At 37.4% G+C, this 26,916-nt stretch overlaps 1 protein-coding gene across 25 annotated transcripts in view, besides 1 other annotated feature; it reads right to left on the reverse strand.

Annotated features, from left to right (window-relative positions):
• The window catches only part of ST7L (suppression of tumorigenicity 7 like), a 101,882-nt gene that overhangs the window by 26,337 nt on the left and 48,629 nt on the right, over positions 1-26,916 (reverse strand). For 15 of the 25 annotated variants that reach the window (XR_007061291.1, XM_011541628.3, XM_011541631.4 and 12 more), the window contains 2 exons: positions 11,729-11,879; positions 6,462-6,554 (listed from right to left, as the gene is read on the reverse strand). The exons of 3 other annotated variants lie outside the window; for them this stretch is intronic. Coding sequence is in view for 18 of the 22 variants with exons in the window: in XM_011541628.3 (XP_011539930.1) it covers positions 6,462-6,554; positions 11,729-11,879 (244 nt within the window). In the remaining 4 variants the exon portion in view is untranslated. Of the gene's footprint in view, positions 1-6,461; positions 6,555-11,728; positions 11,880-26,916 lie in introns of those variants that run through there. 7 more of the 25 variants (XR_007061292.1, XM_047423368.1, XM_047423351.1 and 4 more) reach the window with 4 other exon arrangements.
• Positions 19,294-19,494: a silencer, noted in NCBI's record as "peak370 fragment used in MPRA reporter construct". NCBI's record gives its function as "represses an SCP1 promoter by STARR-seq MPRAs in K562 erythroleukemia cells {active_cell/tissue: K562}" and the evidence as "EXISTENCE:reporter gene assay evidence [ECO:0000049][PMID:32103011]".

Consider the following 26,916-nt stretch of genomic DNA (forward strand, 5'->3'; position numbering starts at 1 on the left):
TCTGGGACTTCATTAGGCCAGGAAGTTGACCGCTTAGGGCTGGATACTAACCCAGGAATTTCTGATGTAATATCCTGCATTAGTAAGGGATGACTAATTTTGTGCTGAACCAAGGTCAGCTATAAATTTCACTTTTAAAACATAATGATTCACAGAGATTACACCTAAGCTTCCTTCAACAGCTATATTTTAATTTTTATTTTACTATATTCAGAAAGTATATACCAAAACACAAACCCATTAAAAATCCAGAAAATGTCCAGAACCTTGAGCCATGATTAAAGTAAAAGCACATCAAAATGGAAGTTTTAAAAGTTAGAAACATTAGAAACTGTAGAGAACATTGTGCTTTCAGCACCCAAAGAACCAGTCAGCAATCCCCTTTGCCCTGTCCCTCAGCCATGAGAGGCCAACTTCTTCTTCTTCCCAACTTCAAATCAAGAGAAACAAACCCTGCTATTCAAGAAGGTGGGAAACACATACAAGACAGCAAAGTTAGTAATATTACCTAACCTATATAGCATTTTATGGTTTATAAAGAACTTTAATTTATATTAGCTCATTTAATTCTTTTCAGTAACCCTAAGAGATAGTAGTATTCTCACTTTATAAGGTAGAAAACTGCATAGCTTTAGTGAGGAAATTTCCTAAAATATGAGATTTTTATACTGTAAGAGAGACCTAATTATTTCTTCCTGGATTGCTTTCTGTAGATTCATTTGTCAGTCAATGTTTGGCTAATACATCAAAATAATGGATGACTATTACAGAAACACTCCCTTGGAACGAAAGTTCAAATTTCATCACTGGCTTGTAGAGAAAAATTTATCAGAAGGCATAAAAGACGACTAAATAGCTATGTGAACTAGGGGAATAGTTCAACTCTGAACTTATGAGGTCCATAAGCAAATTCCAGAATGCGGTAAGTCATATCAAAGTTGAAGGAAAATTAAAAACAAAAAACATTAAGTACTCCTGGGTATTAAAACTCCTTATTGTTAACAATTTGTTCATTCTTCCACAGTCAGAGACAGAAAAAAATACTCTAAGAACATAAAATATAATCAAACAAAACCCCCCAGCATATTCCCCCTCTCCTACCTTCTGGAGTTTGCACCAAGTTAGAATAAAGGCTTGCCAAGAATAAACTGTCTGGTCTTATAGCTTACAGCTTTGACAACATAATAACCCTGATTTTATTCATATTACTATGTAAAATTGGCCTTATATTAGACAACCTTTGCAATAATTTACAAAGGAGGGCATTATTTTAGGCTAAATGTATTAGCTTAATATAATATACTCTTGCATATTGATGTTCCATAATTTAAGGTCCATTCTTTTGCCTTAAATATATTTGTTCCTGTTAAAATGGAAAGACAACAAGAACTACCACCACCACCTCTTTAGAAAGGAAAATAAAATTTCTCTCATTAATGACATCTTAATTGCTAAAGTCAATGGATTCTTCTTAGTATTTACCTTACCTATTATCTTGGATATTACTCCTCACTTGGAAATTTCTTCTTCCTTTTAGTTCTAGCATATTTAGTTTTAGTTCTTGTCCTGTCTCTCTGACAACCTCTTCACTGAATCTTCAACTGTCATTCTGCCACTCATTGCTTAGACATTTCTGTGCATCCATGGTTCCACCCTCAGTTCAATTCTCACTGTATACAGTTTTCCTTAGTGATTTCATTTATGCCTACGACTTCTTTTGCTACCTAGAAAATAATGACTCCCAATTCTGTTTTTTGAGATGTACAGAGGAAGATATATGAGGACCGCTGGCAATTTTATTTACACAACCTAATCCTGTCTTTAGGCTACAGCTGACTGGACAAGGAATAAACACCTGGATAAATCTGATTCTCTCTCCCAGAAGTTTTAGAAGTGGGATTGAGGCTGGGTGCAGTGGCTCACACCTGTATTCCCAACACCTGTTGAGGCAGGCAGATCACTTGAGCTCAGGAGTTCAAGGCCAAGCTGGGCAACATGGTGAAACCTCACCTCTACCAAAAATACAAAAATTAGCCAGGCATGGTGGCACATGCCTGTGGTCCCAACTACTCAGGAGGCAGAGTGGGGAGGATATTTTGAGCCTGAGAAGTCGAAGCTGCAGTGAGCCGTGACTGCACCACTGCATTCCAGCCTGAGTGACAGTGAAATCCTAACTCAAAAAAAAAAAAAAAAAAAAGAGAGAAAAGAAAAAGTGGGATTGAGATATTATTCATTCTGTATTGTCTGCCTGAACTCATGACATGTAAATAGAGGGCTGTAGGGGCCTCAAGTTTGGCCACATGGTTGTCTATGAAGGGAAAGCCAAACTGTAAAGAGAAAGATGTAAGAATGAAGTGGATACACTGAGAGAAACAGAAACGACAGAACACAGAAGGAGAAAATGGGGCTGGGGATGAAGGAAAGGAAAGTAAGAATAGGAAAGACTGAAAAAAGCAGCCAGGGACAGAGAGATATACAAATAACTGATTCCTGGAAATCCTAATGGCTTTCTAGTCCCCAGTTCTAGTCCCTTATGAAGTCCAAATATAATTGTTGCTATTGAGTTCTCTGATAACCCAGTGTTCTTCCAACAAATTACTATTTATATTTAAGCTAGTTTGAAGTTGCTCTCTATTACTTATGCCTACAACATTCACTAATTATAAATATTATATGTATACTTCATAATATACATTATATACATAACTTAAAAATATATCTATACCTATATATTATTTAGAGAGAGGAAAATATAGACTTGTATGTATATGTGTTAAGTAGATTATACAAGAAAATATTTAAGCATATAAATCTCTATATATGTACATATATATATACACATATACAGGTATGTATGTATATATGGATGAGATGTTACACAGGCAACATAGTCAAAGCTTGAACTTATTTATTTCCCTAACCCCTATTCCCAAATTGGCTCCTCCTGATATAGGATAGATTTACCATTCTCCAAGTCACCGAAGTCAGAAAATTGAGAATCATTCTTGACCTCCTAGATAGCTAGGCCCTCCCTTCTAGAGCTTTCTTTCTTTCTTTTTTTTTTTTTTTTTGAGACAGAGTCTTGCTTTGTCACCCAGGCTGGAGTGCAGTGGCACGATCTCGGCTCACTGCAACCTCCACCTCCTGGGTTCAAGCAATTCTCCTACCTCAGCCTCCTGAGTAGCTGGGATTACAGGCGCAAGCCACCACACCTGGCTAACTTTTGTATTTTTAGTAGAGATGGGGTTTTGCCATGTTGGCCAGGCTGGTCTTGAACTCCTGACCTCAAGTGATCCGCCCAGCTCAGCCTCCCAAAGTTCTGGGATTACAGGCGTGAGCCCCATGTCTGGCCCTTCTCAAGCTTTCTTATAATGTATTCCATACATGTAGCACTTAACACATTGTCTGTCATCTTTGTCATCTTTTTTTTTTTTTTTTTTTTTTTTTTGGAGACAGAGTCTTACTCTGTTGCCCAGGCTGGAGTGCAGTCTCAGCTCACTGCAACCTCCGCCTCCCAGGTTCAAGCGATTCTCCTGCCTCAGCCTTCCAAGTAGCTGAGATTACTGGCATGTGCCACCATGCCGGGCTAATTTTTTGTAGTTTTAGTAGAAATGGGGTTTCTCCATGTTGGCCAGGCTGGTCTCGGACTCCTGACCTCAGGTGATCCGCTCGCTTCAGCCTCCCAAAGTGCTGGGATTACAAACGTGAGCCATCGTTCCTGGCCTGTCCATCATCTTTTTATCAACCTTGTTAGCAGCCTAGGAGTTCAGAATAGGGTGAGAGGGAGAAGGCACTAATATTTAGCATTTTAGTTAAGTACTTACAATGTGCCAGCCATGTTTATAAGAATAAATTAATGAATTTGATTAATTCAACCAATATTTATTGAATACCAATTTTTATGGTAACCATTATAAGAGATACAGGAACAATGGCCAGGTGTAGTGGCTCACACTTGTAATCCTAGCACTTTGGGAGGCCAAGGCGGGTGGATCACTTGAGGCCAGGGGTTCAAGACCAGCCTGGCCACCATGGTGAAACCCTGTCTGTACTAAAAATACAAAAAAAATTAGCTGGGCGTGATGGTGGGTGCCTGTAATCCCAGCTACTCTGGAGGTTGAGGCAGGAGAATCACTTGAACCTGGGAAGCAGAGGTTGCAGTGAGCCGAGATCAGACCATTGCACTCCAGTCAGGGCAACAAGGACGGAAACTCCATCTCAAAAAACAAAAAAAGAAGAGAATCCTGGCCTTCAAGGAGTTTACAATCTAAAAGGGGAGATTAAGAAGTACACAAAGCACTTTGAGAATTCAGAGTAGGAAGAGATCACTTAGCAGATAAAGGAAAATAAAAAACATTAGGAGAAAAACACCAGCATACTCAATTTGCCATAATCTCTCCTAAATTTTCATTTATCAGTTTAAACTTATCAACTAGTTAAGTTTGATAGTTGTAAACCTGCAATTTTCCTTCCTAGACTTCAGTTTTAATGGCTCAGTATTGTAAAAACTGTAGCACAGGTTTATATCACATAAGAAAACATGGTCCTAGTGTTTATAGCCTTCGGCATGGTTGCTTCTCAGCTAAATCATAAAAAGAGAAGTTAAACAGAAATTTACTAGTTTACAGAGGAAAGAACAGATGATAAGGCAGCTGAGACACAAAGTGTAGACTGTTCTTTTGAGAAGTCTGGCTTCCTAAAGGCAGGAACTAGACTGAAACACTACCAGCAATCATAATCCTACATATTTCCGGTTCTCCTTCTAGTTCTTTGACTGCTCTTTTTCAATTCGTTCTTCTTCATAAAGATTGTTTGGGTCCTTTGCCTTTCCATATACATTTTAGAATAAGCTTGTTACTTTGTGTGTGTGTGTGTGTGTGTGTGTGTGAAAAATCCCTCCTGGGATTTTGATAGCGATTGTATTGAATCTATAGATCAATTTGGAGAGAATCGTCATCTAAATAATATTGGGGCCAGCCATGGTGGTTCACGCCTGTAGGCCCAGCACTTTAGGAGGCTGAGGCAGGTGGATTGCTTGACCCCAGGAGTTTGCAACCAGCCTGGGCAACATGGCGAAACCCTGTTTCTACCAAAAATACAAAAATTAGCCGGGCATGGTGGCATGCACCTGTAATCTCAGCTACTCAGGAGGCTGAGGCACAAGAATCGCCTGAACCCAGGAGGCGGAGGTTGTAGTGAGCTGAGATTGCGCCACTGCACTCCAGCCTGGGTGAGAGTGAGAATTGGTCTCAAATAAATAAATAAGTAAATAAAATTGGGTCTTCCAATCCATCAACATGGAATGTCTCTCCATTTATTTAGTTTTTCTTTAATTTCTCTCAGCTATATTTTAGTGTACATGTCTTAAATTTCTTTCGTTAAATTTATTCCTAAGTAGTTTTTGTTGCTACTATGATTGCTATTGTTTTCTAAATTCAATTTTCAGATTGTTCATTACTAGTATATAGATATATAATTAATTTTAGTATATTGATCTTATATTCTACAACCCTGTTGAACTCATTTATTAGTTCTAAGAGTATTTTTATGGATTTCTTAGGATTTCCTACATAGAAGATCATGTCACCTTTGAATAAAGAGAGTTTTACTTCCTCCTTGCCAATAACGAGTGCCTCTTATTGCTTTTTGTTGCCTGGTAACACCAGCTAGAACCTCTAGTACAATATTAAATAGAAGTGGTGACAACAGATATCCTTGTCTTATTCCCGATCTTAGGGGGAAAGCATTCAGTCTTTCTCCATTAAATATAATGTTAATTGTGGGTTTTTCAGGGATTTTTTTTAAATCAGGTTGAGGAAGTACCCTTCAATTTGTAGTTTACTGAGATTTTTTCTTTTTATCTTGAATGAGAGCCAGATTTTGTCAAATGCTTTTTCTGCATCTACTGTGCTTTATTCTATTAACTATGGTACATTACATTTTCAGATGTTAAACCAAACTTGCATTTGTGAGGTAAATCCCACTTGGTCATGGTATATAAGCCTTTCTATATGTTGCTGGATTCAGTTTCCTAATATTTTGTTGAAGATGTTTGTGTCTATATTCATAAGGGCTGTTGTTTTATAGTATTTTTATATCATATCTTTGGTTTGGTATCAGGAAAATACTGCTCTCATCAAATGATTTGGGGAGTATTCCTTCCTCATTTATTTTCTGAGTTTGTGAAGGATTGGCACTATTTCTTTTCTAAAAGTTTATAAGATGACAGTTCTTGTTAATATCTTTAATCTTGGTGTCCTTTGTTGCATCTAGCACAGAGTTTTGCTCAATAATTATTAGGAAATAAATTGAATTATACAACTACATCCCAGAAGTGGCTAAAATAGTATTTAAACAGTGTCCTGAATTTAAACCAAAGGCATTTTTAAAATGGAGAATACTATGACAAACAATCTAAACTTACTACTTTTAAGTTTAAGAAAACTAAAATATTTACTTACTAGGTAATAGCTCTCTATCAGCCGTCTCTGTGCAGCTGGGATAAGGGTAAAATAGATGTCCTTTCTCTAACGGGTATGGAATCATTCTAAAAGCTGAGGAAAAAAAAGCATGTGTTGATACTCAATTCTGTCTCATTTACCATCCTATATTTGGAGACAAATTTATATAGAAATTTCACATACTATTTTCTTTTTTTAGTGAGACATTTAGATACGAGAAACAAAGTAAGCAAAATAATAAATAAGGGGAAGGATAAGATTTATTTAGATAATAGTGAATGGTCTAGTCTGGCTGGAGTAAAACTATAGGGAGTGATAGATGAGACTGGCTGGGTCCTTCTTTGCTTCATTCAGTCTCCTCATTACAAACACAATTGATAATTCCAAAGCAGAATTGATAATTCTGCCCCTTACAGAAATCTTCATATAACTGGGATGTATATAACTGTTGTGGCCATTACTATTGGCAACCTAAAATAGTTTTCAATGGTTCCTAACTTCACATGTGAGTTTCACCAAAGCTTTCTATGAGCAGATCTTTTTTTTTTTTTTTTTTTTTTTTTTTTGAGACAGAGTCTTGCTCTGTTGCCCAGGCTGGAGTGCAGTGGCGTGATCTTGGCTCACTACAAGCTCTGCCTCCTGGGTTCACGCCATTCTCCTGCCTCAGCCTCCTGAGTAGCTGGGACTACAGGTGCCCGCCACCACACCTGGCTAATTTTTTGTATTTTTAGTAGAGGCGGGGTTTCACCGTGTTAGCCAGGATGGTCTCGATCTCCTGACCTTGTGATCCACCCACCTCGGCCTCCCAAAGTGCTGGGATTACAGGTGTGAGCCACCGCGCCCGGCCTATGAGCAGATCTTAATCTAGATCAGGGGTCACCAAAGTATGGCCCTTTGGCCAGGTCTGGCCCACTATGATTTTATAAATAAAACTTTATCGGAACATAGTTATGCCATTCATTTACATATTGGCTAAGGCTGTTTTCATGTTACAAGAATCGAGTAGCTGTGAAAAAAACTGTATGGCCCACAAAATCTAAAATATTTACTATTTAGTCCCTTGCAGGAAAAGTTTGTCCACCCCGATCTAGATTGTCACCAACTCCTGTGGATTTATTAAAGAAGAAATCTTTATTGATCTATTCCATTAGCTAAGTACATAAATCTTTAACGTTGTCAATAGGTTCTTGGAAACTGTGACTTTAAATGAAATGTCATATAATAAAACCAATTTTACCATAGGCTAACTGATATAAACAAGAGTTAAGTTCCTTGGTCACAAAACATCACCAAACTTCTAAATAAAGATCCAAAACACTTCTTATATTAAACATTGAAATAAATGTGAGCTATACATACGTTTAAGAAAGATTCATAAAAACAGGATCATTATTTACCCAATTATTTTAGTTCAGGGTCAAGCACGGCCAGAGCCTATCCTGGCAGCCCAGGGTGCAAGGCAGGAACCCACCCTGGACAGGACACCATTCCAGTATACCACTCACACACACCCCCACACTCACTCATACTGAGACAATTTAGATACACCAATTAACCTAATGTGCACATCTTTGGGATGTAAGGGGAAACCCACAAAGGCATGGGAATATCTTGCAAACTTCACAAAGACAATGGCCCTGGCTGGAAATCTGTTTTTTTTCCCCCCGATCAACATTATAATGAAATAATGTTGAATGAAACAACATTATTTAAGGGCCTGCTGTAGTCATCAAAATTGCGATAAGGTTTTTGTTTTTCCTTTCGTGTTTGGCTCTATAAACTTTTGTCGCAATTTAGACTTTATTTATTTATTTATTTATTGAGACAGAGTTTTGCTCTTGTTGCCCAGGCTGGAGTACAATGGTGCGATCTCGGCTCACCACAATCTCCGCCTCCCAGGTTCAAGTGATTCTCCTGCCTCAGCCTCCCAAGTAGCTGGGATTACAGGCATGCGCCACTATGCCCGGCTAATTTTGTATTTTTAGTAGAGACGGGGTTTCTCCATGTTGGTCAGGCTGGTTTCGAACTCCCAACCTCAGGTGATCCGCCCACCTCAGCCTCCCAAAGTTCTGGGATTACAGGCGTGAACCACCATGCCCAGCCTAGACTTTATTTTACCACAATAAGAAGTAGTTATTTGTCCAAAGTCATAGAGTAAATTAGTGATAACACTAATAAATCATTGATCATGATTCATGAAATACAGTATAAATCATAGGTGGTTGGGCATGATGGCTCATGCCTGTAATCTCAGCTCCTTTGGGAGGCCAAGGTGGAAGGATTGCCTGAGGCCAGGAGTTCAAGACCAGCCTGGGCAACATAGCAAGACCTCATCACTACATAAAAAGTAATAAAAGAAAATAAAATCATACACTTATTGAAAACCTATTTGCCAAGCAGAATGTCAGGCAGTGAAGACATGCACAAAATGAGTGAGACAGAATATCTGCTTTTGAAAAAAAGAAAAGATATTCATTGAGTATAGACTTAAAAAAAACAAAACAAAACAAAAAACAATATCTGCTTTTGAGGAGCTTATGGACTACTGGAGAAAAAGCAAAAGTAAGTTGAATTACTCAAAGACATTTGGTTTCTCAAGCACATAATCCCAGTTTTATCAATCTTTTCTTTAAACACACACACACACACACACACACACATATTAGAGAGAATCTTGCTATGTTGCCCAGGGTGGTCTCAAATTTCTGGCCTCAAGTGATCCTCCTGCCTCAGCCTCCCTAGTGGCTGGAACTACAGGTGTGAGTCACAACACTTGGCTCATCAATTTTATTTACATTGTCATTGTCAAGCCACAGTGTCTGGCTTTTAGCAAATGGTTAATGCAGAGGTTCCAAAATTGGTTCAAGATAATTTCACTTGTTAATAGTGAGTCCAAACAACTTAAAAAATTTATGTTCTGATAATTTAGCAGCAATTTGGAAAAAAATGCACATAAATTTAAAGAATCAATAAATCAATTTTCTTATTTCATTTTTAAATGACCATAATTTCTTACTAATGAGATATAGGTATGAGCCTATTAGACACTGTACAACTTCTCAAAACTTGGAATCACATTGGACACTACCATTCTCATTTCCTATATCACATTGATTTTTGTGTGGTACTTCTTTTAATCAGAGCAACTAACAAAACTCCAGCTTTGCAAAGATATAATGATATTGAAAGGAATGGAGAATGATCTAATGTTGAAACTGTGAACTGTCTGGAGCTAATAGTTTAAGTGATATCTGACAGATGTTGAATTATTCTTATTATTATTTTTGAGACAAGGTCTTACTCTGTCACCCAAGCTGGAATATAGTAGTGCCATCTCGGCTCACTAAAGCCTTGACCTTTTGGGAGGCCTCAGCCTCCCAAAGTGCTGAAATTACAGGCATGAGCCACCATACCTAGCCTTGAATATTGTATTGTGTTTCCATTGAAAATTAAAAATGTTCTACAGCACTCTTGTGAATTGCTGCAATATCCAAGGTGCCTCAGAGTAGTTTGGGAACTGAGGCGGGTTAACCAATTTTAGTGAATAAGCATTGAATTTATTTTTGAATTTTTACTGATAGCTGTGGTGTACTTTTCAAAAGAATTATGTGAATCCTATGGTAAAATGTTTTAATTAAGCTTCTTTACTTTCTTGGTGGTTATAAGAAGCAACAATTAAAGAGATCGGGTAGTTAGTTTAAAACAGTCCAATTTATTCTCCAAAGAAGATATATAAATGGCCAATAAACACATGAAAAGATGTTCAACATCACTAATCATCAGAGAAATGCAAAACACCACCACAATGAGATTCCACTTCACATCCATTAGGATGGCTATTATTTACATAAAGAAAAATCCCAGAAAATAACAAGTGTTGACAAGGATGTGAAGAAATTGGAACTTTTGTGCCTTGCTGGTGGGAATGTAAAATGGTGCAGCTGCTATGGAAAAAAACACTACTGAGCTTCCTTAAAAAATTAAACATAGAATTTTATGATCCAGCAATTCCCTTTCTGGGCATATACCCAAAAGAACTGAAAGCAGGAACTCAAATAGATATTTGTACACCAATATTTGTAGCAGCATTATTCACAATAGCCAAAAGGTAAAAACAACCCAAGTTAAATGGGTATCTGTTCATTAACAGATGAATGGATAAAAAAAATGTGATATATACATACAATGAATTATTCAGGCTTAAAAATGAAATTCTGATGCATATTACCAATATAAATGAATTTTGAAGATATTATACTAAGTGAAAAAGGCCAGACAAAACAGAACAAAAATTACGTAATTCCACTTATATGAGGTACCTAGAGTAGTCAAACTCATAGAGACAAAGTAGAATGGTGGCTGCCAAGGGCTAGAGGGAGGCAAGACTGGGGAGTTATTATTTAATGGGTATAGAATTTCAGTTTGGGATAATGAAAAAGTTCTGTAGATGGATGATGGTGATGTTCGTACAACACTATGAATGTACATAATGCCACTGAACTATATACTTAAAATAGTTAAAACTAAATTTTATGTTGTATATATTTTACAATAAAGAATAGGTTGATATTAGTTATGAAGAAAATAGTTTCATATTGTATACATCGGAAAACAAAACAAAACAAAAAGACCAATTTTTAAAATATTAGAATAGCTCAACCACATTAAAAAAGTTGTAAGTCAGGCCAGGTGCGGTGGCTCATGCCCGTAATCCCAGCACTTTGGGAGGCAGAGGTGGGCGGATCACGAGATCAGGAGATCGAGACCATCCTGGCTAACACGAGGAAACCCCATCTCTACTAAATATACAAAAAATTAGCCGGGCATGGTGGCAGGCGCCTGTAGTCCCAGCTACTTGGGAGGCTGAGGCAGGAGAACGGCATGAACCCAGGAGGCAGAGCTTGTGGTGAGCAGAGATTGCGCCACTGCACTCCAGCCTGGGGGACAGAGTGAGACTCCGTCTCAAAAAAAAACAAAAAAAGTTGTAAGTCAAAGGGCCAAGTTTTCATTTTCTTTCCTTACAAATATGTAACTTAAATTAACATATGGCAGAATACCATAACAATTTCTCATTCTGCTTTTGTGGGATCAATATAACATTATGCATTTCTACCAATAAACCAAATATCTCATCACTAATTTCCATTTGAAACCAATCTGAACGACAAATCCTTATGGAAACCCAGACAATCTCATTTAAAAAGACTGCCTGTGAATTCAATGAATAGTTAGAGAGATTAGTGTTACTTTTGGAAAAGAATACTTACTGCCTTCCCATGTACACTGTAACAGATTAAGAGCACCTTCTATTCGTTTCCAGTGCTGAAGATGAAAGAAAGCATAGGCAATTGCTTCACTATCACCCCGTTTCAGAATGTGTTCTGGAGGTAAAATTAAACTTTTCATCTCTAATAAATACTGAAAGAGTAACACACAGACACATATACACACAACAGAAAAAAGAAAAATTAAATTGTGTTAAATTCAAACACCCACAAAAATGTAGATTCAAAGTGTTAGAAAGTTAAACTGATTTTTAAAAAACTAACTGAAATGACATGAAGATACTGATAACATGTATAAAATGCTTATATACGCAAATTATGAAAACCAGAATATTTCTATAGGTAAAAATAAGGTGATAAATGGCATATGTGTGGCCTGGCTAAATACAAAATGGAAACTCGAGCTGAGAAGATGTGAGAGTAGATATTTATTTTTCCAAAAAGGAATTAAATGTAAAAATTACACATTTTTTATTTTTAAAATTCATTTATTTTAAATTTTTAATTAAGCCATTTCCTACTGAAAGGAAGAATTAAATATAAAAATTATGAAATCCAATTTTGGAACAATATTTGTGCAATTCTTTTTTCTCTTACTTACATTTTATAGGTGAAAGAACTTAATTGTGGAAAAGTTCAATTAAATTCCTATTTACTAAGTTCAAAGCACTGTGGTTGTTAGGGAATACCAAAGAACGCTTTGCCTGTTCTGTGGAGCTACATAATGCAATGGAAAAGACAGATTTCTTAAGTGAATAATTATAACAAGACTACGGTGAGTACTTTATTAGAGGTATACACAATGTACAAGGCCGAGTGCGCTGGCTCACACCTGTAATCCCAACACTTTGAGAGGCCAAAATCGTGAGGTCAGGAAATCGAGATCATCCTGACCAACATGGTGAAACCCCATCTCTACTAAAAATACAAAAATTAGCTGGGCCTGGTGGTGCATGCCTGTAGTGCCAGCTACTCAAGAGGCTGAGGCAGGAAAATCACTTGAACCCGGGAGGCGGAGGTTGCAGTGAGCCGAGATTGCGCCACTGCACTCCAGCCTGGCGACAGAGCGAGACTCTGTCTCAAAAAAAAAAAAAAAAAACAAAAAAAAAAAAACACAAAGAAAAGAAAAAAAAAGGTGCAATACATAGGAATACAGATAGAGGTATTAATTTTTTTAATTTAGTTTTTAAATAACAGCCTTTATTGAGATATAATTCACATACCTTAGAATTCACCCATTAAAGTATACAATTCGAGGATTTTTAATATATTCAGAGATATGTGCAACTATTGCCAAAGTCAATTTTAGAACATTTTCATCACTTCAAAAGAAAATCCTGTACCCTTTAGTTACAACTCACTTCTCCCCTAGTCCCCCAACCCCCTTAAGCAACTACTAACCTATCTTATATCTCTATAGATTTGCCTATTCTGGATATTTCATACAAATGGAATCATTTTGTGACTGGTTTCTTTCACTTAGCATAATGTTTTCAAGGTTCACCCAGTTTGTAGCATGCATGGGTACTTGTGCCTCATTTCTTCTTATGGCTGAATAATACTGCATTGTACATATGGTATATATGTTCTGTTTATCCATTCATCAACTGACAGATATTTGGTTGTTTTTAGCTTTCGGCTATTATGAATAATGTTGTTATAAACACTTGTGTATAAGTTTCAGAATGAACATATGTTTTTGTTTCTCTTGAGTAAGTACCATGGAGTAGAACTGCTGAGTCATATGATAACTCTATGTTTAGGAAGTATTATGATTTAGAGGCTAGAAATAAACCACTTGATGGGATTTGACTTGATATTTACAGATAGGTAGAATGTGGATGAGTGGACTGGGGAGTGAGGAGAACAGCAGGAGGACATAAACAAAGCACAGGGCCATCTTGAATAAAGGCACTGAACCAAGAGAGCATACTGCAGGATACATTTAATGTGCCTGTTAAAGAAGTTATAGTTTTCTCTCAATTCTTCTTCAGATATGAACCTAAATTTTATCTTAAACTCCTAATGAAAATACTTGTACTAATATTATCATTTATAACAAAAGCAGTGTAATCACAGTTACTATAGCAATCAAATGTACTTGTTATATGTAGAAAGATACAAAGTTAACTATCTGTACAGCATCTTTACTATTAGTCAACTTAAAACCTTTAAAAACTTACTTAGTTAGCTAAATACTATCTCCAAAGACTGAGACCAGAATGCACTTGCCCTTCTAGAATAGGTTTGAAATTACCTCTTTGGTTCCAAACAATTTGATATCAAATTATGTGTCATAAGATACAAATTATGTTAACTTCTCTTATAAAATATAAAAAGAGAAACATTCCAGAGGTGTCTCAAAAGATACACTCTCAGATTTCAAATTCTAGTTCCTCAGGTTGTTATACAAACTAACGGGACAACAGAAATTAAAGAGCTGAATTTGTGAAACACTTTGTAAAACTGCTACAAGCAATAAGACTCTAGGAAGACTCTTAAAAACAAAAAGCTGTAGTGGTTTCAAAATTTAAGCCTTACTTTATTTAATCAATATACATGTACTCCTCATATTATATCTAAAATAATTTTTCGATTTATGAAATGTACCTTTCCAACAATTACTAAGTTTAATGCCCATCTTTAATTACTCTTACTCTTGATGTCTTTGGCTCTGTTCTCAAAGTGTAAGAATATAGTCTGCTCATCAATTTATTTTACCAGATGTCACAAACTATGAGATTATTTACTAATCCAGTTTGGGGACTTAACATTTCCCATTCAGTTTCTTAAAGGAATGCAGTAGAGGTTGTGTCCTGGTCAAGCAAAGCCCATTTGATGCCTGGTTGGGTTCTCTCCCCTTAGTGCTTTGGGCCTATATTCAGGAGGGTAATATTCTTTCTAATCCCCTCTAATCCTTGCCCATTTTTTTTAAAACACAGTAAAAGATCACTCGCACCAGGCGGCTGTGGGAAAATGGACTCAAATAGCTGACCTCTGACATGACTCCTTATGTTCTTTGCAAGCGCACTAAGAGCTTCTTCAGTAGGAAGCAAAGAAAATGTGGCAATCACAGTGGAATTGTCATAATAAAAAGAATACTGAGTTTTCAGAAGAAAACTGCATAATATTTAAACCAAGTTCTTTCTATTAAAATTCTGTTTCATTTCACAGACAAGAGACAAAATATCCCAAATCATTTTCAGTGAATTTTAGAACTCCGAAGCCTTAAACCCCAACATGTTAAGTATTTAGTATATTCGTAACCATTTAGCAAATGTAAGCAAAGATATTCAGTTAACAATTATTAAGTAAAGCTTATATTACAAAAAATATCAATTTGATGTGTCAAAAAATACTTTTATTTATTTATTTTTTAGACGGTGTCTTGCTCTGTTGTCCAGGCTGGAGTGCAGTGGCTCACCAGAACCTCTGCCTCCCAGGTTCCAATGATTCTCCTGCCTCAGCCTCCCGAGTAGCTGGGACTACAGGCATGCACCATGATGCCAGGCTAATTTTTGTATTTTTAGTAGAAACGGGGTTTCACTATGTTGGCCAGGCTGGTCTCGAACTCCTGACCTCGTGATCCACCAGCCTCGGCTTCCCAAAGTGCTGGGATTACAGGCATGAGCCACCACGCCTGGCAAAAAAAAATACTTTTTTAAACAGCAACTATATACCTAAATTTTTACTGTTTAATAATCTGAGTGATAATTCAGGTGGTAAACACACATGGCACACTTATTAAGAAATTATACTTCAAGATTTTATATTAAAAATATTTTCTATTTAATCATTTTAAAAATCTTCCTTGGCTGGGCGCAGTGGCTTACACCTGTAATCCCAGTACTTTGAGATGCCAAGGCAGGTGGATCACGAGGTCAGGAGTTCAAGACCAGCCTGGCCAAGATGGTGAAACCCCGTCTCTACTAACTATACAAAAATTAGCCAGGCGTGGTGGCGGGCACCTGTAATCCCAGCTACTCGGGAGGCTGAGGCAGATAACTGCTTGAAGCCGGGCGGTGGCAGTTGCAGTGAGCCGAGATCGTGCCACTGCACTCCAGCCTGGGCAACAGAGCAAGACTCCATTTCAAAAAGAAAAAAAAATCTTCCTTATGCTAGCTTATTTTTTATTTAAAATAATTATTTGTTATCGATTATTATTGGTGGTCCTACCCACCAGCAAATATCCTTTCCAATTTGACTTTAAAACAAAGCAATTTTTCGGGCCAGGCGCAGTGGTTCACGCCTGTAATCCCAGCACTTTGGGAGGCCGAGGCGGGAGGATCACGAGGTTAGGAGATCCAGACCATCTTGGCTAACACGGTGAAACCCCGTCTCTACTAAAAATACAAAAAATTAGCTGGGCGTGGTGGCGGGCGCCTGTAGTCCCAGCTATTCGGGAGGCTGAGACAGGAGAATGGCGTGAGCCCGGGAGGCGGAGTTTGCAGTGAGCCAAGATCGCGCCACTGCACTCCAGCCTGGATGACAGAGCGAGACTCTGTCTCAAAAAAACCCAAAAACCAAAAAACAAAAACAAAAAAGCAATTTTTCAATTCCTGATTAGACAGTAAAATAAAAGTTGATCCCCAAAATATAAGAGAAAAATTTCAATTTAAGGAAAATGTATACAAATTATAAGATTATTTATTTTATCTCCTTCACAAACTGCTACTCAGGAATTTCCACTACCCAGCATAGGCTGTAACTTATTACACTATAAAAACCATATCCTTAAAATTCTACTACCATGCCTAGCATATTACACTAAAAGCAAGTATTAAAATACTTATTGGCCAGGCGCGGTGGCTCACACCTGTAATCCCAGCACTTTGGGAGGCTGAGACGGGCAGATCACCTGAGGTCAGGAATTTGAGACCAGCCTGGCCAACATGGTAAAACCCCATCTCTACTAAAGACACAAAAAATTAGCCAGGCATGGTGGTGGGTGCCTGTAATCCCAGCTACTTGGGAGGCTGAGGCAGGAGAATTGCTTGAACCCGGGAGGCAGGGGTTGCAGTAAGCCGAGATCGTGCCATTGCACTCCAGCCTGGGCGACAACAGCAAAACTACATCTTAAAGAAAAAAAAAAAAAAAAACTTATTAACTGAGTTAATCTGATAAATACAGCTGAAATGTCTTCAAATTCATATTTATATTTTAGTTTTTACCAAAGATATATTTTAACTCTCTGGGAAAACTAAAACCAAATACAAAAACTCTGCTACCCAGACTTTAATTTTCTAAGAAGAATATAAAAGATTAAAAACTGACCGATGATTTTTTTCAGTCTTTTTTTTTCTGCTTAGTAAAGTATATGCTCAGTGTACAGAAATGGAAACATAACAGAGCTAAGTAGTAGAAAATAATATGTTTGAAGAATAAAAAAATAAACTAAAGACAGGGCATGGTGGTACATGCCTGTAGTCCCAGCTACTCAGGAGGCTAAGGCAGGAGGATAGCTGGACCTCAGAAGTTTGAGCTCCCTGCCTCAAAAAAAAAAAAAAAAAAAGACAATAATCTGATTTATGTTTGTCTGGATTTCTTTTTCTATGCATAATACATTTTGCGCCTCCCTTCCTGTCTCTATACAGATCTAACTTTTTTTTTTGGAGATGGAATTTTGCTTTTGTTGTCCAGACTGGAGTGCAATGGCGTGATCTCGGCTCAGTGCAACTTCTGCCTCCTGGGTTCAAGCGATTCTCCTGCCTCAGCCTCCTGAGTAGCTGGGATTACAGGCGTGCACCACCACACCTGGCTAATTTTGTATTTTTAGTAGAGATGGGGTTTCACCATGTTGGTCAGGCTGATCTCAAACTACTGACCTCAGGTGATCTATCTGCCTTGGCCTCCCAAAGTGCTGGGATTACAGGCATGCGTTGCCCGGCCAATCTAACATTTTTAATTGTTGTATGATATCATATTTAAAGCTGAGTTATTTCATAATATAGTAAATACAGTCATGGTAAAATCACACTGTCATCTTTAAAAGGTAAAAAAATGGTATTATTAAGCAAAACTTGTAAAAACAGTTACGTAAACTAGCTTAAAAATTTGAAGAAATGATGCTTCTAAAACTTTACTTTTTTTTTTTTTTTTGAGACAGGGACTCACTCTGTCACTCAGGCTGGAGTGCAGTGGTATGATCATAGCTCACTGCAGCCTCGACCTCCTGGGCTCAAGCAATCCTCCTGCCTCAACCTCCTTAGTAGCTGGGACTGTAGGTGCAACTACCACATTTGGCTAGCTTTTTAATTTTTTTTGTAGAGATAGGGTTTCACTGTGTTGCCCAGGCTGGTTTCTAACTCCTGGGCTCAAGTGATCCTCTCACCTTGGCCTCTTGAAGTGCTGGGATTACAGGTGTGAGCCACTGTGCCCAATCTACTTTCTTTAACTTAGATAGACTTTTAAAGCAATGCAGTTCCAAACTACAGATATGTCTGTTTCCCAGTGTTTACTGATTGTCTATATAAGCTAGGAAGAGTGTTGGACATTAAATGATAAGTAAGACAAGTGCCCTGCTTTTGTTCAGAGGGAACTATGGGAGAAACATACAAACAGACCAATTAAAAAAAAAGATATGATTGAGATACTGAAGGAACAGAGAAGAGAAAGCCGTTATCTCTTCTTGGGAAAACTAGAAAAAACTCCTTATAAAGGAGACAACAGATGAGCAGGGTCTTAAAGAATGAGTAGAAATTTGCCAGGTAGAGAAGACAATGGCGGTGAGGTATGATGAGGCATGACCAATCCAGGGAACAGTGACAATGAACATAATGAGCAAAGCAGAACTGGCAAAGAGTAAGGCTGGAGACAGATACTGGCCCAGAATATGAAGGGCTTTTATAGGTGTAATACTAAAAGGTTGGTCCTTATCCTGTAGGCAATCGGGAACAAGCAGAGGTCTTTTAAGACTTGCTATTTAGGTAGATAACTCTGGCAATAGCTGGAATGGAGAAGGGCTGATGGCAGAAAGATGAGTGAGGAATCTGTTTTAATAGTCCACACAAGACACGGTAAAGTATTTGAGATTCTTTCTATGTCTATCTCTATGTGTTTAGAAATGCGTAGAAAATGTGGGCCAATATATATACCAAACAGTAACAGGTGGTTACTTCAGAGAAGTAGAATTGGGAGGGAGAGAACAGGAGATTTCTACTTTGTAAAAGTCTGAAGAGTCTGAATTTTTAAAAAGTACCTATTACTTTTGTTATAATAATAATAATAATAATAATATATTTTTTAAAGTACAGGTAATGAAGGCAAACAAGAGTCAGTGACAGTGGGGATGAGATAGATGGCTAGATCTGAAAAACATTTCAAAGGTTATAATATGAGTTGGCAATTTGGAAATGGCAGAGGTAAGGGTTAATGAGAGGATAATGAAGCCATAAATCAAAATATAGAAATAAATGAGAGGCAGTTTGGCAGTTTGAAGAAAGGACTTAACAAATTTTAAAAATTCTGTTTGAGACACATTAAAGTGTTTGAGGTACTTAACATGTGATTTCCACAACCAGATGGAAATGCTAAGTCTACAGACAAAGAAAGAAGCCAGAGATAAAAGACACAGATTTGGAAATTATCAACAAATAAAACATAGCTGAGGACACAAACCAAAGCTAGGACCTAATATGTGCTATCAGACCTTCCATATTACCTCTGACTCAGCCTATTGTGTCTGTAATGAGAAACTGCTTGGGACAATTTTAACTAGCATTCAACTATGAACAATACATTCAAATGAGTAAAACAAGAGAATTTAGCCTGTTGCTTTTCACTAAAAATATAATTATTAAGGCTCCTTTGGAAGCTATGGTTAAAAAGACATAATGATGTATGGTCTAGTGGTTTCTTTTACAACTCTAAAGCCCTATGTATGCTTACACTCAAATTTACTTTAATTTTGAACTGCTTTGATCTTTATAATTTATCTTTAGATTACTTTTTTCTATTACTTTGTAAATCTTACAACAGCTTTTGACCAAAAGCAATATAATTCTGACCTGAAGTAATGATAATGCTTTATAATCTTCCTCTTAAAAGCAGAGGTTAAAGAAAAATCTCTCTGAAGGCATCTGAAATTAAGGTACTTTGCTCTTGATCAGTCATGCACACAAAGAACCAACTTATCTCTGCAATTAGTTTTCTCAGTGCACATTCTATGAGATTGGACAGGCAGGGCGAATGCAGAGTCCACATTGGTATGTATTGGGGGAGACTAAAGACAGTTCCCAGATAGAAAATAAACAGAACTGCTATGTGAATAAACTGAAAGAAAACATAATACTACCTAACAATTTCAGGAGCCAAATAAAGTGACTTATACTGAAGGGAAAAGGAAAGGAGGCTGGAGAGGGCATTGCTACAAGAAAACTCCTTTCCACATCATCCTACAGAGCCACACCTCAAGATATAAGCATTTCATATCTCAACTCTTCTACTTAGGCCACAGTACAACATAAGGGAAAGGCAAAGGTTTCATTGTGCTCTAAGTTTGGGTCACAGACTTCAACACTTCTCCTTTGCTCTCTTTACCCCTGCTATGCCACTCGGAATGTCAACTGAGCACCTGTTTCCCTTTTATCTTTTATATATGCCGGTGCTATGATATAAGTAGTTTAGCCAGTGAAATGCAAGTCTGCTGCTAAAGAGCTACTATCAGCTGGGAGCAGTGGCTCAGCACTTTGGGAGGCCAAGGCAGGTGGCTCACCTGAGGTCAGGAGTTCAAGACCAGCCTGGCCAACATGGTGAAACCCTGCCTCTACTAAAAATACAAAAATTGCCCAGGTGTGGTGGCGGGTGCCTATAATCCCAGCTACTTGGGAGGCTGAGGCAGGAGAATTGCTTGAACCCAGGAGGCGGAGGTTGCAGTGAGCCGAGACTGTGCCATTGCACTCCAGCCTGGGCAACAAGAGCAAAACTGCATCTCAAAAAAAAAAAAAAAAAAAAAAGAGCTACTATCTTCTAGGGTGGATAAGACTTGTAACATTCTACGGGCTTCCATTTCTGATCAACCAGAACAGATTTTACTTTCTATGTATCAATTTATTTTTAAAACTTCCTCTGCACTTAAAAGTCTCCAGGTATAGTCTACTTTCTTGGCAGCATAACACTAAAAGCAGTTTTATTGTAAAATAAGAAATAGTAATTTTTATTTATTATTATTATTATTTGAGATGGAGCTTTGCTCTTGTTGCCCAGGCTGGAGTGCAATGGCGCGATCTCGGCTCACTGCAACCTCTGCCGTCCAGGTTCAAGCGATTCTCCTGCCTCAGCCTCCCAAGTAGCTGGGATTACAGGCGCCCACCACCATGTTCGGCTAATTTTTTTTTTTTTTTTTTTTTTTTTTTTTTGTATTTTCAGTAGAGACAGGGTTTCACCATGTCGGCCAGGCTGGTCTCAAACGCCTAACCTCAGATGATCCAACCCATCTCGGCCTCCCAAAGTGCTGGGATTGCAGGCGTGAGCCACCACGCCCAGCCAAAATAGTAACTTTTAAATGCTACAGATAGCGAATTTCTAAATATGTACTCCAGTTATAAGGATTTACTAAACACACTTTTGTTATTGTTTTGTTTCTTACTGCTCTACTTTACTCTTGCCCTAAGGGCTTCTTCTGTAAGACACAAACTGTTTTCAGGGTATTGTAACTAATTCAAATTAGTTATTACCTAACTATTATTACGTTATTAGCTAATTCAAATTAGTTAATTCCTAACTGTTTTCAAAATCTTCACCACTACCTCATCTCAACAAAGGAATCCCCCAAACCTTATACATTCTAAGGCTACAAACACTAAAATAACATCCACAAAGAAACAAACACTGAACAACTCAAAGAAGATGGGCCAGGCACAGTGGCTCATGCCTGTAATCCCAGCACTTTGGGAGGCCAAGGTGGGCGGACTGCTTGAGCCCAGGAGTTCAAGACCAGCCTGGACAAATGGCAAAACCCCATCTCTACAAAAAATACAAAAATTAGCTCCGTGGCATGCACCTGTAGTCCCAGCTACTAGGAAGGCTTAGGTGGGAGGATCACTTGAGCCCACCAGGCTGAGGCTGCAGTGAGTCATGATCATGCCACTGCACTCCAGCCTGGATGACAGAACAAAACTCTGTCTCAAGAAAAAAAAAAAAGGTACAGAAATAAAGTGACAACCACCATGATAATCAATAATAGCCTGACACTCAGACACTGTGTTAAGCACTTCACATACATTATCTAATTTCATCAGAAGGCATGATACTTTTACAATGCTTTCCATGCTAAGTCAAATTCTTTTTTCTTTATTGAGGTATAATTTTAAATACATAGATCCTAAATATGCGGCTTGATGAGTTTTGACAAATGTAGACAAGTAATGCCCAAATCAAGACATATTTTCTTTTATTTCTTTTTCTTCTTCTTCTTTTTTTTTTTTTTTTTTGAGACAGAGTCTTGCTCTGTCATCTAGGCTGGAGTGCAGTGGCGTGATATAGGCTCACTGCAACCTCCACCTCCTGGGTTCAAGTGATTCTCCTGCCTCAGCCTCCCAAGTAGCTGGGACTACAGGTGTGTGCCACCATGTCCAGCTAATTTTTTGTATTTTTAGTCGAGATGGGGTTTCACCATGCTGGCCAGGCTGGTCTCGAACTCCTGACCTCGTGATCCGCCCTCCTCAGCCTCCCAAAGTGTTGGGATTACAGGCATGAGCCACTGCGCCTGGCCATCAAAACGTATCTTCTTTCACTCCAGGAAGTTCTCCTTTCTAGTTAATGAATGTTTCACCTGACCACCTGAGGCAAACAGTGTTTTCATTTCTACCACCACAGATCACTTTTTGCCTTTTCTTGAACTTCACATAAATGGAATCATTCAGTAAGTACTTGTTTATATGTCATATTTTTGGTTTCATTCATGTTTTGCTTGTATCAGTAGGTCTTTTTATTGCTGAATACCACTGTATTGTAACTTACTTATCTATTTACCTATTGAAGGACATTGGGATTGTTTCTAGTTTGGGGCTATTATAAATAGAACTGCTATGATATTCATGTTCAACTCTTCTTGTGGACATATGATTTCATTTCTCTTGGGTATATACCTTGGAGTAGGATTGCTGGATCACAGGTTGAAGGATATATTTAATTGTATCAGAAATTGCCAGTTTTCCAAAGTGGTTGTACCATTTTGTAATCTTAGCAGCAGTGTATGAAAGTTCTGACTTTCACATTCTTATTGACATTTTATCAGTCTTTTAAATTTTAGTCATTCTGATAGATGTGAAAGTATTACTTCATGACTTTATATTGCATTTCTCTCATAACTAATGATGTTGAACATCTTTTCTTTTTTTGCCTGCTTCATTTTACCTTCATATGAACATCTCTTTATGTGTTATTGGACATTCCAATATTTTCTTTTGTAGTATCTGTTCAAGGCTTTTGCCCATTTTTTAATATTGTGTTTTTTTATATGTATATATTTTGGATACGAGTCCTTTGTCAGATAAACATATTACAAATATTTTTTCCTGTCCATGGCTTGCCTTTTTGTCTTAACACTAACATGAGCAGACTTTTAAAATTTTGATAAAGTTCAATTTGTAATTGTCTTCTCTTATAATTGCCTTCTATGTCCTAGGAAATCTTTCTTTACCCCCAGCTTTCAAAGATAGTCTTAGATGTTTTGGTCTAGATGTTGTATAGTTTTGGTTTTTATATTTAGATCAATGACACATTTCAAATTAATTTTTGTGTATGCTATGTGAAAAAAATTCATGATTCCCTCCCACCACATTTAGATATCCAGATGTTCTAGTACCATTTGTTGAAGTTCCATTTCCCCATTGAATTGCATTGGTGCTTTTGTCAAAAATCAATTGACAGTATATATGTGAATGTTTTGTCACATATATGACAGTATATATGTGGATCCATTCTGTGATTTTGTTTTTTATAGTAATTATTTTATATTTGAATATAAAATAAAATTTAGAAGAATTCAGCTATAGTATGCTTACTTTAAAAATCATCAATAAAATATTACAGCAAGCCATTGTTAGATCTTAAAGTTGGGCGATATTATTCTAACTGATGTGTGAAGTGTCATACCAACAATAGTTACATTTATAGTAGATCACTGACATTCAGGGATCTAACGTTTACAATTTCTACTCTTTGTGGGAGCTCCAAATACCCATGATGTATAGCAGGCATCATTTTGCTAAGGCACAAATTTGAATAACATGCTTTGAGGCTTGTGCACGCATGTGAATGATGTACCTAATGAATACATCTAGCAGGCTCTTTAGCATCTGTATCTCAGCAAGGTTTGTGACCCATTCTCATGTTTACATTTCATAGGTGAAAATACATGTAATAGTGGCATTTTCAAATGTGGATATTCACAATGGTTCTGGATCACATTAATCAAGAGTGTCAATGGTCTACTGTAATAATATTTTTTTTTTTTTTTTTTTTTTGTGAGACGGAGTCTTGCTTTGTCGCCCAGGCTGGAGTGCAGTGGCATGATCTCGGCTCACTGCAAGCTCTGCCTCCCAGGTTCATGCCATTCTCCTGCCTCAGCCTCCCAAGTAGCTGGGACTACAGGCGCCCACCACCATGCCTGGCTAATTTTTGTATTTTTAGTAGAGACGGAGTTTCACCGTGTTAGCCAGGATGGTCTCGATCTCCTGACCTTGTGATTCGCCCGCCTCAGCCTCCCAAAGTGCTGGGATTACAGGCATGAGCCACTGCGCCTGGCCAATAATAATGTTAAAGAATACCTTATAATAAAAAGATAAATAGAATACCTTTAATTTAAAAAACAAAAAAACAACAACAAAAAAACAAATTTAGGCCAGGCACAGTGACTCAAGCCTGTAATCCTAGCACTTCGGGAAGCTGAGGCAGGAGGATCCCTGGAGCCCAGGAGTTTGAGACGAGCCCGGGCAACATAGGGAGACCCTGTTTTTTATAAATATAAATATAAATATATATATATATATATATATATATAAAACAAAAATTTAAAAATATGCAACTTGAACATATATCTGTCCAAAGAAAAAACACAAACAGCCAATAAACATATTAAAGTGATGCTTAATATCATTAGTCATTAGGGAAATACAAAACAAAACTACAATGAAATATCACTTCATACCCATTGGGATAACTATAATAAAAAAGACAGATAATAATAAGTGTTGAGACAAATGTAGAGGAACTGGAACTCACACATTGCTGAGGGAATGTAAAATAATGCAGTTACTCTGCAAAACAGTTTGGCAGTCTCTCAAAAAATTAAACAGAATTACTTGCGATCTACCAGTTCCACTTCTAGGTGTATACTTGAGAGAATTGAAAAATTTATGTTCACACAAAAACTTGTACATGAATGTTCATAACAGCATTATTCATGCTAGTCAAAAAGTGAAACCAACCCAAATGTCCATCAGTTGAATGTATAAACAAAATGTGGTACAATGGAATAGTATTCAGCCATAAAATGAAGGAAGTACTGACATATGCTACATTATGCTAAGTGAAAGAAGTCAGACACAAAAGGCCACTATTATACGATTCAATTCATATGAAAAGTCCAGAATAGGCAAATGCATAAAGACAGAAAGTAGATTAGTGGTTGTGAGGGACTGGGGGGTGACTACTAACAGGTACTTCTTTCCAGAATTAAATAGTGGTAATGATTTTACAACCTTGTGAATATACTAAAAACCACTGAATTATATCCTTTAAAAGTGAATTTTATAGTATGTAAATTATCTCAATAAGAAAGACAGTATCAGCTGGGCGCAGTGGCTTACGCCTGTAATCCCATGACTATGGGAGGCCGAGGCGGGTGGATCACGAGGTCAGGAGATCAAGACCACCCTGGCTAACATGGTGAAACCCCATCTCTACTAAACATTACAAAAATTACCCGGGCGTAGTGGCACGCACCTGTAGTCCCAGCTACTCAGGAGGCTGAGGCAAGAAAATCGCTTGAAACCGGGAGGTGGAAGTTGCAGTGAGCCGAGATAGCACCACTGCATTCCAGCCTGGATGACAGAGGAAGATTCTGTCTCAAAAAAAAAAAAAAAAACAAAAAAACTATGAAACCATTTGATGGTTGGATAAGAAAAGTATGATACCAGAATGAATGAAACAGAATGCAGTGGAATATTTAGAATATATGAAACAATTTCTACTGAAAATAAAACTGACAATTCATATAGTAGCTGAAAGATAAACGACCGTTTTTGTGTTTGGCAACTAAAAAAAAAGTTCACTGAATCAAAGCCATAGCTAAATAATGAAGAATAAGTCAAAAACCATGAACACATGCTGTTCTATTTTTTTTACTGTGGTACTATCAGTTACTATACACTGAAATTCATTTAGTAGAATAAAAAAGCTATAGAAGCTATCAATATTAATGAAATACCTAAAAGCAAATTCATTGCTTGAAGAAATTTATATGATCTTTCTCTATTGCACTTCTAATAGTTTCCAGCTTTAACAAATTGCACAGCTCTAGACCTACAGCCATTTCTGTTGTAGTTATGTGGAAAGTTGCCAAAAATATTTCCCGCTAAAACAGCTTTATCCTTTGTCATTTTACTGCTAAGATGCATACAACCATTTGTATAATAAATTTGTGAGAATAAAAGATGTATATATATATATATATATATATATACACACACACATATATTTGAAATGTCACTGTTCCTTAGGTTGAATAAGTTATTGTGACTCACAATTGAAGTGTGAAGAAGAAAACCCCTAAATCCCTTTATGTTTGCTTGCTTCCAGCTGACAGTCAGGAATAGAGACCATAACAGGAGAAAAAGAGGGTCTGTACATACTTCATCAATTGTAAAACCCTAGCAAAAACAGCCAGTCACAAATTCCAGAGCTCTCCCAGTTCATATAACATCAATGTTATTTAAGTGAGATATTATTCAGGTTGGTGAAGTTTAAAACTTCTCCAAAAGTTTTGGCTCACAAATCTTCTCCAAAAGTGGTGGCTCACGCCTGTAATCCCAGCACTTAGCGGGGCCGAGGCAGGTGGGCCACTTGAGGTCAGGAGTTCGAGACCAGCCTGGCCAACATGGTGAAACCCCATCTCTACTAAAAATACAAAAATTAGCTGCACGTGGTGGCGCATGCCTGCGGTCCCA

Source organism: Homo sapiens, chromosome 1 (genome assembly GCF_000001405.40).
Source record: "Homo sapiens chromosome 1, GRCh38.p14 Primary Assembly".
Taxonomy (NCBI): domain Eukaryota; kingdom Metazoa; phylum Chordata; class Mammalia; order Primates; family Hominidae; genus Homo; species Homo sapiens.